The 12,310-nt window shown below is 43.2% G+C and overlaps 1 long non-coding RNA gene across 3 annotated transcripts in view; it reads right to left on the bottom strand.

The window, feature by feature from the left end:
* Positions 1–12,310, bottom strand: part of LOC105379034 (uncharacterized) — a 36,735-nt gene that overhangs the window by 8,466 nt on the left and 15,959 nt on the right. The window contains exons 1-2 of one of the 3 annotated variants that reach the window (XR_007058819.1): positions 6,687–6,750; positions 5,712–5,794 (exon numbers count right to left, since the gene is read on the bottom strand). This is a non-coding gene — a long non-coding RNA (uncharacterized LOC105379034). Of the gene's footprint in view, positions 1–2,481; positions 2,707–5,711; positions 5,795–6,686; positions 6,751–12,310 lie in introns of those variants that run through there. The other 2 variants (XR_001742745.1, XR_001742746.1) reach the window with 2 other exon arrangements.

Genomic DNA, 12,310 nt, shown 5'->3' with positions numbered 1-12,310 from the left:
TAAATCAAATTTAATAAAGAGGTGTCTACTCTTACTTAAAATTCTCCCTTGACATTCCAGTGACTTAAAACCTTCAACCTCAGAAAATTCTTTCTGTCCACTCAAAGTTCTTCTCCCTAAGCCTGCCTGCCTTTGGCTCATTCTCAGAGGAGATGGAAAGCATGCTGTCTGCATCTTATGCACAGTAACACTTCATATATTTGAAGGCAGATAAATCCCTCTTAATGCTTGTCTTCCTGAAGCCAAAATCCCCTCACTCCCACCCTGTCTCTCCAGTTCCCTGATGGCTCTTACAACGGTTTCCTGCTACCTGTGTCTTTCTCTTCCTAGAGTGTGTGAAATCCAACCACATGAAGTAACAATTCCCTATCAGGATAGAGGAATCAGAGATCTCATTTTACCACAACATAGCTGGAAAGGGCCCCCATGGATTACATGGGGTTAAAAAGATCAGGAACAAGAATCAGGGAAGTATTAAGGAACCAGGAGCTGGTGAAAATTCTTCTTAGGGAATTAAGAAGGCGCTGGCAGATGCAAGTAGAAATTATTTTGGAAAGAAAATTCATCATGGACACTGTAAGGAGAGAGAGGAGTTGAAGAAGAAGGAAATAATCTAATTAATTTCCATGAGTGGTTCTTAAAGTGCTTTATCAGGACCACCAATATCAGCATCTCCTGTACTCATGTCCTAGGGCTGCCCATAACAAATTACCACAAGCTGGCGGCTTAAAACAACAAAGGTGTATTCTCTAACAGTTCTGGAGGCTAAAAGTCCAAGACCAAGATGTCAGCAGGGGCACATTCTCTCTGAAGGCACCAAGGAAGGATCTGTGCCATGCCTTCCGCTTAGTTTGTGCCATTGCCAGAAATCGTTGGCCTACTTGGTTTGTAGACACATCACTCCCCTCTCTGCTTTTGTTGTCACATGGCATTCTCCTCTGTGTCCCTGTCTGTGGGTCTCTCCTTATTAGGATGCCAGGCAAATTGGATTAAGGGCCCACCCTATTCTAGTATGACCTCATCTTAACTAATTACATCAGCAACAATTCTATTCCCAAATAAGTTTTTATTATGAGGTCCCGGGAAGGACATGAATTTGGGGCTTGCTATGGGCTGACTGTTTGCATCACTCCAAAACTTATATGTTGAAATCCTAACCCTCAAGGTGATGGTATTAGGAGGTGGGGCCTTTGGGAGGTGATTAGGTCATGAGTGTGGAGCCCTCATGAACTCGATTAGTGCCCTTATAAAAGAGATTCCAAGAGAGATCCCTTGCCCCTTCTGCCATGTGAGGTTATAATAAGAAGACAGAAATTTTTGAGGAAGCAAGCCCTCACCAGACATCAAATCTTTTAGCACCTTGATTTTAGACTTCCCAGACTGTAGAACTGTGAAAAACCAATCTCTGTTGTTTATAAGCTACCCAGGCTACAGTATTTTTTTAATGGCAGCCCAAAACGGATTAAGACAGAGGACACACACTCTGACCCAGCATATCCAGGAACTAGTCATAAATGCAAATTCTTGAGTCCCACCTAAGACCTACTTAATCAGAAGCTCCGGGGGAGGGGCCAAGTGAGCCATGTTTAACAAGCCCTCCAGGTGATTCTGATGCTTTGGAGAACCATTGATTTTGATGCAACTGAGGCATTTCCCAAAATGCACCAAAGTGATCTTGACACAGTTCAGAAATGTATAGAAATAGGGGAGAGGCCGGGTGCAGTGGCTCATGCCTGTAATCCCAGCACTTTGGGAGGCTGAGGTGGGCGGATCATGAGGTCAGGAGTTCAAGACCATCCTGACCAACATGGTGAAACCCCGTCTCTACTAAAACTACAAAAATTAGCTGGACGTGGTGATGCACACCTGTAGCCCCAGCTACTCGGGAGGCTGAGGCAGGAGAATCACTTAAACCTGGGAGGCGGAAGTTGCAGTGAGCCGAGATCCTGCCATTGCACTCCAGCCTGGGCGACAGAGCAAGACTCTGAAGAAATAGGGGAGACTCCTCAGCAACACACGAGGCTACAAGGAGTAAACTTCTGGGCCACTTCATCTGAAATCAGCTCTATGAGTATATTTCGGTGGTGAAACATACTGTTTTGCTATGAATACATTTAGAGGGTTCCTTGCACTTAGAGACCAAGGACTGATTATGACTGTTTTCTGTCATCATGCACTCAGGGGCAGTTGAGAAAAGCTCTGAGTGGAACAAGATTCTGATCATAGACCACAGTTCATAAAGGGCCTTCCACCCCTGCTGAAGGGACTTATCCCCAGCCCATCATAGTACAAAAGAACCTGAGGACCGTAACCTCCAGAATGCAAACAGAGCCCCCAGAAACTGGTCTGACATTCAGAATTGACCAAGTCAGGGATCAAGGCAGTCCAGAAGGAAAATACACCAACTCTTAGCCCACGGGAAGAAGAGAAGCCATCCTCGAAGGAAACATTTCCAGCTTCCTATTCACTGAATAGACACACCTGCCTGGGATGCTAGATGAGGCTCCTGAATTTTAGTACCGTCAGCAGAACTTCTGGCCGTCTGGGAAGCTTCATGCTGTATCCTCTAAACTTGCTGAGTTTTTATTGCAGAGTGTGGCCTGGAGATTTTGACTGTCTCTAGGGGTGCAGTAAATGAAGGGACATGAAAAGAAAGTAAGATAGCATTCAAAAACACCCCTTGCAAGTGTGTAATGGAAAATAATCACACCGAAAATAAATGGCAATGTGTCCTTCGGGGACCCTGTGCTGCTGCCTTGAGCCTGGGTTTCTATTCTTCTGGAAGGAATTAATGCAGTGATGGCGGCTCCTGCGCAGGCTGCAGGCTCAGGTTTCCTAGACAATATCCTGACTGTGGACACATGTGTCTTAGCAAGATATATGTCCACTGGCTTGGGAGAGTACAATGGCTGCTTGGTGGCTTATTAGAGGAGAGAATATATTAAGCAAGACAGCAGTTTTTATTTTTAAAATTCAGGCTCTTTCTGACTCAAAGATGCCTGGAGGAATAATACTGCTTGCTACCTTGATTTTTATGTGACCTTATTTCTCCTAAAAGCTTCTTAAGAGAGAAATTGGGCCATTTAGATAGTCAGGTATTGCTCAGATTCTGTGACTATTCTACAATGTGCTTGAGATTTGGGGAATTCACAGCCATGTGGGTTCTGTATCTAAATAGTATGGATGCTCCCAGTCAGCTGCCTCATTTGCAGGCATATTTTGCAGGGAATCAACTGGGACTCCCCTTCCCCACCCCCTGCCCCTTGCAGAGGTTAGGAGGAGGAGATGAGACAAGATATTAAGTAGATGAGACCTGTCGCCCTCCCTAAGGTCCACCCTGCTCACCTCTTTCCACAGAGGAAACCCTCAGACATCTACCCCTTCCCAACCCCAGCCTACTAATCCTTCCTCCCTCCCCACTCCCTGCCAATCCCCAACAACAGAGCAAGGGGGAAAGCTTTGTACTCTGCCTGCCCCATGACTGCTTCTCGTGGGCAACACCATTTGAAACTAAGAGACACAATTTCTATTTCCAGCAGGTGGGCACACAAGAGGAAGGAGAGGCTGTCTCCCCAATCCACCCTTGACCCCCTCTCCTCCCAGGAGGGAAAAGTGACTTGGCAGTACTCCCAGAGCCAAAGAAGGAAACCAGCCCCAGTGAGAGAAATGTCTACTGGAAAGTAAATGAGCCCTTCTAATGAGCTGCTTACATGGCTGCACCTGATATTCCAAGTATTTCCTCCTGTCCTAGCCCACTCTAGGGCAGAATCCCCAACCATCTGTATGTGAAAATACAGAGATGGTTATTCTATGGAAAAAACCACTAACTCCATGAGTTCTAGAATGCCTACAAGATCTATTGAAGATTAGGCATCAATAACCAATGTCAATGCTGAGCAAAACACAAAAAAGGTTTCCTAAAACAGAGCTCGGTGTTTGCTGTTCACTTTAATTTTAGCAGACTATTCAATCCAACTGGGGCCGTGGGTGAGAAGAATTAGATAGTCTAGAAATGTAGCTGTATTATGTTGTGTCTGTTTGCTCTTTCTTTTTCTTTTTTAATAGAGATAGTAGACTCACTGTGTTGACCAGGCTGGCCTCAAGCCATCTTCTCGCCTCAGCCTCCCAAGTAGCAGGGCCTACAAGTGTGTGCCACCAAGCGGAATTGTGTCTATTTTCTAATCTGCTTCATTAATGAGCAGATTTATTTGGGTGCCATTAAATAATGATAAATTATGAAGCTGCAAACAAAACTTGAGGCACCTGAAATCTTTCTGATAGTATTGTCAAATGCCTTCATAATACTGTCAACCGTACAAAATCAGGAATGCTCTTATAAACTATACTGTTAAAGATAAGGGATTCCCATCCCAGCTATTATGCACAGCTTGATTAATCTTTTTAATTAGAAAATTTGAAATATAATGCATAATATCTCAAAGAAGTTCCTGCCTAAGGCAATATTGTGTAAATTGTTTTTTTTAACGATCCTTTTTGAGTCTCATGTTGTTTTTGTTTCTTCTGCACATAATTATTTAATGTCTCTCCTTTGTTCTAGTCCTTGTGCAAACTTTTTTTTTTTTTTTTTTGGTGCTTTTTTATGGGCTTGTCTCTCTTTCTCACATTTCCTGCCATGGAGTAGGAGGATACATTTTTATTTTGTAATAAGGTTGCTTAAATCGCCTCCTCAATCTCTCTCTGGAGAACAGGGTTTCAATAAAAAAAAAAAACGTTTCATGGGCTCTTAGAATGTCTTTCCTTTGTTGCTCACTGCTTGGGAGATGGGAAGAAATGGAAACTGTTGTCGTAGATCTGGGTCTGGCAATGAAAAAAACATACAGGGCTAGGGAGATTAAATACAAATTGGGAGGGGTGGGGGATGCTCAGCACTTCTAACAGCAGCCAGCCCCCACCACCAACCTCCCTCCCTGGGGCAAACAGGAAAGATAAGTGGCTGTCCCGTTGGGTTAGTCTTCCCACACTCCCTTGCTGGCTGCACTTCTCTGCTCCCAGGGGCCAGTCTGTACAGGGGAGTTAGTGTTAGAGTAACTGCTTTTATCTCTCTTGAAAATATTTATGGCTAAACACTGGAAATTGCTCTGGGATGCATCCCTATAAATTTCAAGACCCCCACCTTTCCCTATCTTGAAATTCAAGATGAATTAATCCTAGAGTGAGAAAAGGAAGGAAGAACTTTCAAGGGTGAAACTTGATAGCAGTTTCTTATCTTATTGGCAACTCTCGATCGGGTGACCGATCGCTGACTGGGGAAACACAATTCCTGTAGAGAGGTTCAAAGCCTCCCAACAGAAACTGGAGATAGCTCAAAGATGCTTCACCCTGTTTTGGAGATAGTGACACCTCATTCTGCAGGAAGATGTGCCTACAAGCCTCCAGGAAAAGAGGCCGCCCACTCCAAAACCGCACCGTGGCAAGAAGGGAATATTTGGAATGCAGAACATTTGGATGCAGCCCCATCCAGGGCTTTGTGGAAATTCAGCTGCAAGGCCTCCTTTGTCTTGTGTGTGAATTTTAGGAGACTCCCTTTCATCTGATTCAAGCTGGGTTCTAAATGTCACATGAAGAATCCAGTTCGGCATTCAGACAAGACTTACCATCAGAGTGGCTTCAAAAGCTCAGGTGCCCCTAAGGCTCCTCACCCAGCCTGTTGCAGGGTGAGTCCCAGGCTTTGAGTGTAGGGTCACACTGACCTGCATTTGCTTTTGGCTCTGCCTGTTATCCATGGTGTGAGGAGGGTAAGTTTCTTAAACTCTCTGAGCCTCCTTTTCTTCATCTGTAAAATAGAAATAAGAAATTTATTTCATATAGTAATTGTGAGAACTAAATAAGACAACACGCATAAATCTCTTGCACAGTATCAGGGACAGAGTAATCCCTAGGGAAAAGCCAGTTGTCGCTGTCATTGGTGAAATGGTGATGTGATGGTTTCCCAGCCACCTCTGGGTTCTTGGTGATTTCAATCCTAGCAGAGGCTGAGAGAGTAAATGCTTACTGCAGAGCCTGCTTCTGGTGCCTGGCCCAGACCCAAGGATGGGCCCAATGTCTTGTTAGGAAATTTAGCCCACCTTGACATGTAAGGCACCAAAGCCTCCCCATCAGTGCTCTCTAAAAAGAATTTACATTACAGACAAATCTCCCTGACATATAAGTAACACATGTTGAGCACATAAATATCAGCATTTTGGCTGGAATCAAGTATCACAGTCTTATGCCGTCAAGTACTATTCATGACCCTCTTCATGAATCCTTGTCGTGAGACCTCAGTGGTGAGCAGCTCACATACATGACTGTAACTGATCTGACTTTCACACAATTAAACTGTAAGTTTCATTTTATTTTCTCATTTTCCTAGTTCTCCAGAACATAGAATCAGTGTTTATGGAGACTATTTTCCTGATTCTGGAAAAATTTCAAGAGATGATGAAAGTCAGATAATGCTTTCAAAATTTCTGAGATGTATAACCACTTCCCACTGTCTCTAAGGCCAAGTGGATGAGGCTTCCCGGGCTCCATTACTATCTTCCCAGATGGTGTATTCATCTGTTCTTGCACTGCTATAAAGAAATACCTGACACTGGGTAACTTATAAAGAAAAGAGGTTTAATTGGCTCATGGTTCCGCAGGCTCTGCAGGAAGCATGGCTGGGGAGGCCTCAGGAAACTTACAATTATGGCAGAAGATGAAGGAGAAGCAGGCACGTCTTACATGGCTAGAGTAGGAGGAAGAGAGAGAAGGGGGAGGTGCTACATACTTTTAAACAATCAGATCTCATGATAACTGACTCACTGTCATGAGAACAGCACCAAAGGGGATTTCTGCCTCCGTGATCCAATCACCTCCCACCAGGCTCCACCTCCAATATTGGGGATTACAATTTGACATGAGATTTGGGCAGGAACACAGACCCAAACCATAACAGACAGCAAACTGAATTTCTTTTTACCTTGAAAGGCTTCCCTTGAAGTTCATTTCTACATGAACTGCCTGCAAAAACTCCCATGTGTACTGCAGGAGGCAGCCTGCATCCCCCAAGAAGGCTCCTGCACACCATGTACTCTCTCTCCTCCATCCTTACCTCCAGGCTGTCCCACCTTACCACAAGGACCAGTGCCTCATGGCCCTGCATGCATCTCAAGGGATCTAGAGCATTCCCCAATGCCAAGAGCCATGACCAGTGTTTGCCACTTGCTCCACAGACCATCCTTGACCTGCTCAGATCTCACTTCCTTCACCCCCAGATCCACAACTGATGACAATGTCTTCAGCCTCTGTTGAGTCCTGGGAGGAGATTTCCAAAGGGTGAATAGATAGGAAAGCCAGTGAGTTTAGTAACCTGAAGTCAAACATTGGTGCTGCCTACCTCACAGGAAAGAAACATGTATTTGCCACTGTGGGGGGTCCTGTTGCAAAGGAAGAGTGGAAACCAGCATTTCAAGAGGCTCAGCCCTTTTGTTTCCTGGCTTAAACCCTTAGCCTTCTGGGATCTGATTGGTTGTAAATGAATTTAGGTCAATAAATTCCAGGATATTTTTTTCCCTAATTTGCCATCCCCACTCATGACCAGAAATAACATCTCTCCGGGAACGAGTCCCATTTTGAATGGCATGTGGTTGCTAACGCTCTTTCAGTGGAATAACATTGAAAGGCTCTCCTTTATATTCTGAGGTCCCTGAGACTATAATTAAATCACTTATGATCAAAGAACATTACTCATATTACCACTGAAATACACAATCTCTATATTCCTAGACAGAGCAATCATGAGTTACCACCAAAGCAATGCCCTTAGGCAATTGGGACAATCATTTCCATCTTAGAAATTGGCTTTGGTTTCCTTTAGCTCATATAAAGGCCCTACCCAGGGTACACTCTGAGCATTCTTACTCATGGCTGCTATTGATTTCTGTACAAAATTCAGATTCTGTTAGGAAAGTATAGAAAGGATGGGATAAATATTGGGTAGGCAACCAATATCCTACTCATTATCCTTTTATGGAGCAAATAGAGCACTGATGTTATCCTCAATCCTCAGAACATCCCCATTTATTGGAGAAAAATATGGGTGGTTGCTAATTCCATATGGAAAAATACTACTCAGAAATAGCCTACTATATAAATTTCAAGGTAAGCTCGTAACAAAGACCAGGATACTACCTTGTACTCCCCACTTCCTACTTCTCTTGGATAAGCCCTCTTCAGGGGTAAAACTTCACTGTCTTATATAGCCTTCCAGATTTTTTGCCTACACTCTTCTCTCTTACTTGAGAAGGAACTTGATACCAGTAAGAAGGCATACTCCACTTCACTGTGCTTCCTTGCCATGCAGTTGTTCCTTTAGAGATGGTGAAGATGAAGTTGAAAGAGTTGCAGGAAAAAGAGGAAAGCAGGTTGTGTGGTGAAGACAGGCTTGTCCTTGTCACAGCATTATGTGGCTTGTTGGCTGAAGAGTCAGAGGACCTGGATGTAAATGTCACCAGATGTTTCTGCCATCTCTATCATTCATGTCCATTGCAAAGTTAAAATCCCCTTTTGTCTCTCTTCACTCAAGAATGGCTGATATGTGATTGGGAATAAGAAAAAAACCAACTCAATGGCCTTAAATGAAGAAGACTGATTGGCTCATCTAAGTGAAAATGTAGAGAGACCAGTGACCAGGTGTGGCTTATCCGCAGTCCTGACTCTACATTTGTGACTCTCAAGGCTATGGGTAGATATGGAAACTTCGTGGACAGGTTTCATTTTTAAGCTATTATTGATGCAGCTCCAGGAGTTCTGGACCTTATGTCTCTGCATAACAACTTCCATCCTAACATTCCAGGCATGAGGCCTGAGATTCATCCTGCGTGGATTACTTTGGTCACATGCATTTCTCCTCAATAGACTGTTCAGGGGAATAAAATGCCGATTGTCTTAATTAATAGAAATAATCCCTGAATCGTGGAATATTAGGTCAAACCGTATGAGACTACTACTAATAGTCAATGATTTTTGATCTGTGAAAACATTGATTTCATATGATTCAACCTAATACATGAGATGTGTATGCAAAATGATAAAAACTAAATGAAAACCCAGATGATTAAGAGAGCAGGAAGGAAGCGAACATATCCAATGAGTGAGCATCGTGGGGTTGTGGGGGAAGGAATTCTTCTCTGGCTGGCTTCACTGTGCACTAGCTGTGTGAACTTGGATAAGTTTTTTTTTTTTTTTTAAATCTGTCTCTGCCTTAGATTCCAAATTTACCAAATGGAGATTACAACACCACCTACTTCACACGATGGTTATGAAGTTTCAATGAGTTAGTTCACAAAAATTTTAGAATGGTACCTGGCTCTTGGCAGATATAAGCCTCTGTTATTGTTGTTTTTATTGTTATTTCTGGGCAAATGTGATGGCCTCCATTTGTCATCACCATGGTGCTTCATTCATTTTGGGGTGATATTTGATCTTGTAACTATCATCAATATCTGCACTCCCAGAGCACTCATGTTCTGGGGGTTATTAAAAATTGGAGTCATCATTCAATTACATTTCATCACATTGTTTTTATTTGTGTGTTACCCACAGAGGCTGTGCAATCACTACACTCTCAAAGCCAATTACAGTCAGCGAATTACCCAAAGACATAAAATTAATGAAATTTACTGGCATAATTGTTTTCTAGAAAGCACAAGGTAGCTAGGCATAGACTCAAATAAGATAACTCGTTTCATGTGCTTCTCTATCCCAAGGGAAATGCCAAGCTTGCTCATTCTCCCCCATCCCTCTTAAAGAGGGTTCTCTCTCTCTCTCTCTCTCTCTGTCTCTCTCTCTCTCTCTCTCTCTCTCTCTGTGTGTGTGTGTGTGTTTAAAATCCTGGGCCTCAGTATTACCAGCAGCATCCTAGGAAAGTCATCTTGGTTCATCCCTCCACCTCTAGGCAGAATTATATCAAAATCATCGCAGGCTAGAGGGACAACCATACTACCCCCTGGGGAACAGCTCAGCTCCTGCAAGAAGCACACTTTCTACTAATTCCTCTGCTCTGCCTTCAGTGGGAACAGGAACTGCATTGACCGAGCAGTGGCAGGAACAAGAGCAACAACACAAGCCAACCCCTCCCCAAGCTCCATTCCTCCTAGCAGTCGCTTCTCTGAGTAGCATGGATAGAGGCAAGCAGATTTCTTCTTCCATAAAATAAGCTGTTTAGACTGAATGACTTTTACAATAAAGTGCAGCTTCAAACTTTTAGGGCTCAGATTTGGGGGCTCTGGTGATGTCCCTCCTACTAAATTCTATTCTAAATTCCCAGGGAAGCCATCTGTTAATGCATTTTACACAGCACTAAGCTCCAAGAACACAAAGCCACATGAGGCCATACCCTACTTTGTACCTACCAGAGCGTCTTCTTCGGGACCACCCTCACAATACAATTCAAGGGTACAATTTAGGCCAGATATTGTGATTTATATCTGCCTGCCTGGACAATAAGGCCATCATGTGGGAACTATTTCTAATTCAGTCTTTTGTATGATGCCGAGTTGTCACAGCCACAAAGACGTGAGCCAACACAACGTATGTGGACTGTGCCAGGAAACTCTACTAAGCTCTTTTGCTCACCTTATCTCATTGAGCCCTGCAGAACCTTTCAGTTAAGATGTGCTAACCCCATTCTATGTATGAAGGCGCTGAAGTTCAAAGAAGTTAAGTACCATCCCCAATGTCATACATGTCAGTGATGGGATTGGGAGATGAAAGTAGGGGTCTGCCTCTCTACCTAATCCTCTTAATGTTTAAAGTGCCCACGTTGTAGGCTCCTTGGGGGCAAACACAGACAACCTGCATTTCTTTGGGCCTTTTCATAGCACCCAGCACAGAGCTGTGCACCTCCTAGAACCTCATTTGCTGTTCTCCTACCAGCCCATCATTCTGAGCTAAGGCCTATGAAGTCGGCTGAACTCCACTTCTGCCTTCCAACAGCTGCCATGTCCATTTCTGGCTTTCACCCCACCTTATTATTCTTGTCATAATATCATCCATGACTACTGTGTACCAAACAAAAACAAAAACTATTAGTTTGGGAAGCTATCACAGGTATGAAATGAATTCAGAAAATTTGGCTCCCAGCCTGCTGAAACTTGAGGAATTGAGCAAGCACATGTTGTTGGTCAAGTTTCGGGATTTTTTTAAAGATGTGTGGCTCCCTTAGCTTTCGTTCCACATTCTTTGGGTGCTTGGCTGGATGTTTGATGTGCAGCATTAAATTAACTTCCCAGCCCTGATAACATCCCAGGGTTGTTAAATGCACCGAGGTACTTGGTAATTCATCTCACTTGAAATTTTCTCAGCTCGGTAAGCATGCATTCATTATCATAGAAATCACTTTCATGCTTAACAAACATATCTGGCATATTCTCAGCGTTCACATTTTCCACTGTCACCTAACCTGTCATGAAACATGCTTTGTGTATACAAATAAACAATTTACGCAGAGATGATTTTTCACTGTGTCTAAGGAAAGACAGTCAAGTTTCAGGTTCTCTTCGGAGAGAGGATTCTCAGTCCTCAAAAGTCGCTACATTTTGACTCTGAGTAGTAGTTTTCCTCTAACTTGGTGGGCCCTCCTTCCATTTAAGACCTGGTTTAAGATTCACCCCCTGCATGAAGGTTTCCCTGAGTAATAACACATCTTCCCATTCCCCCAGGTTGTAAGCGTGCAGTTTGTGCATCACTCTTTCCCGTGTTTACAGGCTGTGGTTGCCGCTTCCCTCAGGTTGCGAGGTCATGTGAGTGTGCTCCCTTCCATGAGACTACAGGGATTGCTGCAGTTTCTTCTAATTCCTTTTTGTTTCTCCTACACTCTTTTGTGTTTCTCATGGTGTTATGCCCTCTGTAATAAATGTGTATCAGCGTTGGGTACCATGATATTATATTTCTTCGAAAATCTCCTACAAAGACCCAACAGACACGACAAATCTGCTATGTATTCAACCACACAGAGGACATCCAAAGGAAGTTGAAAAATGTAGCCTGTTTCTTTCATGTTGCCTACAATTGACTTGTAGAGGTAAGATTTCATAGATAAACTAATAACATACATTAGTATGATACATCCTTAGTGTTCTCCAGTGCACACTTTGAATGAGTTCTCATGAATCATGATTGAAGATATAGACTTACAACCAGCCAAATTGTCCAGGCATACATGTATAGATTATCTTATACATTGTCAACTCAGAGTATTTAAAAATTTAAAAATTGGTTGCCAATAAATTTATAAAGATAGGACCTATCACCAATGTCCATATTT

The sequence above is a fragment of the Homo sapiens genome, chromosome 5, assembly GCF_000001405.40.
Source record: "Homo sapiens chromosome 5, GRCh38.p14 Primary Assembly".
Classification (NCBI taxonomy): Eukaryota; Metazoa; Chordata; class Mammalia; order Primates; family Hominidae; genus Homo; species Homo sapiens.
This window is presented reverse-complemented; position numbering and strand designations above follow the sequence as displayed.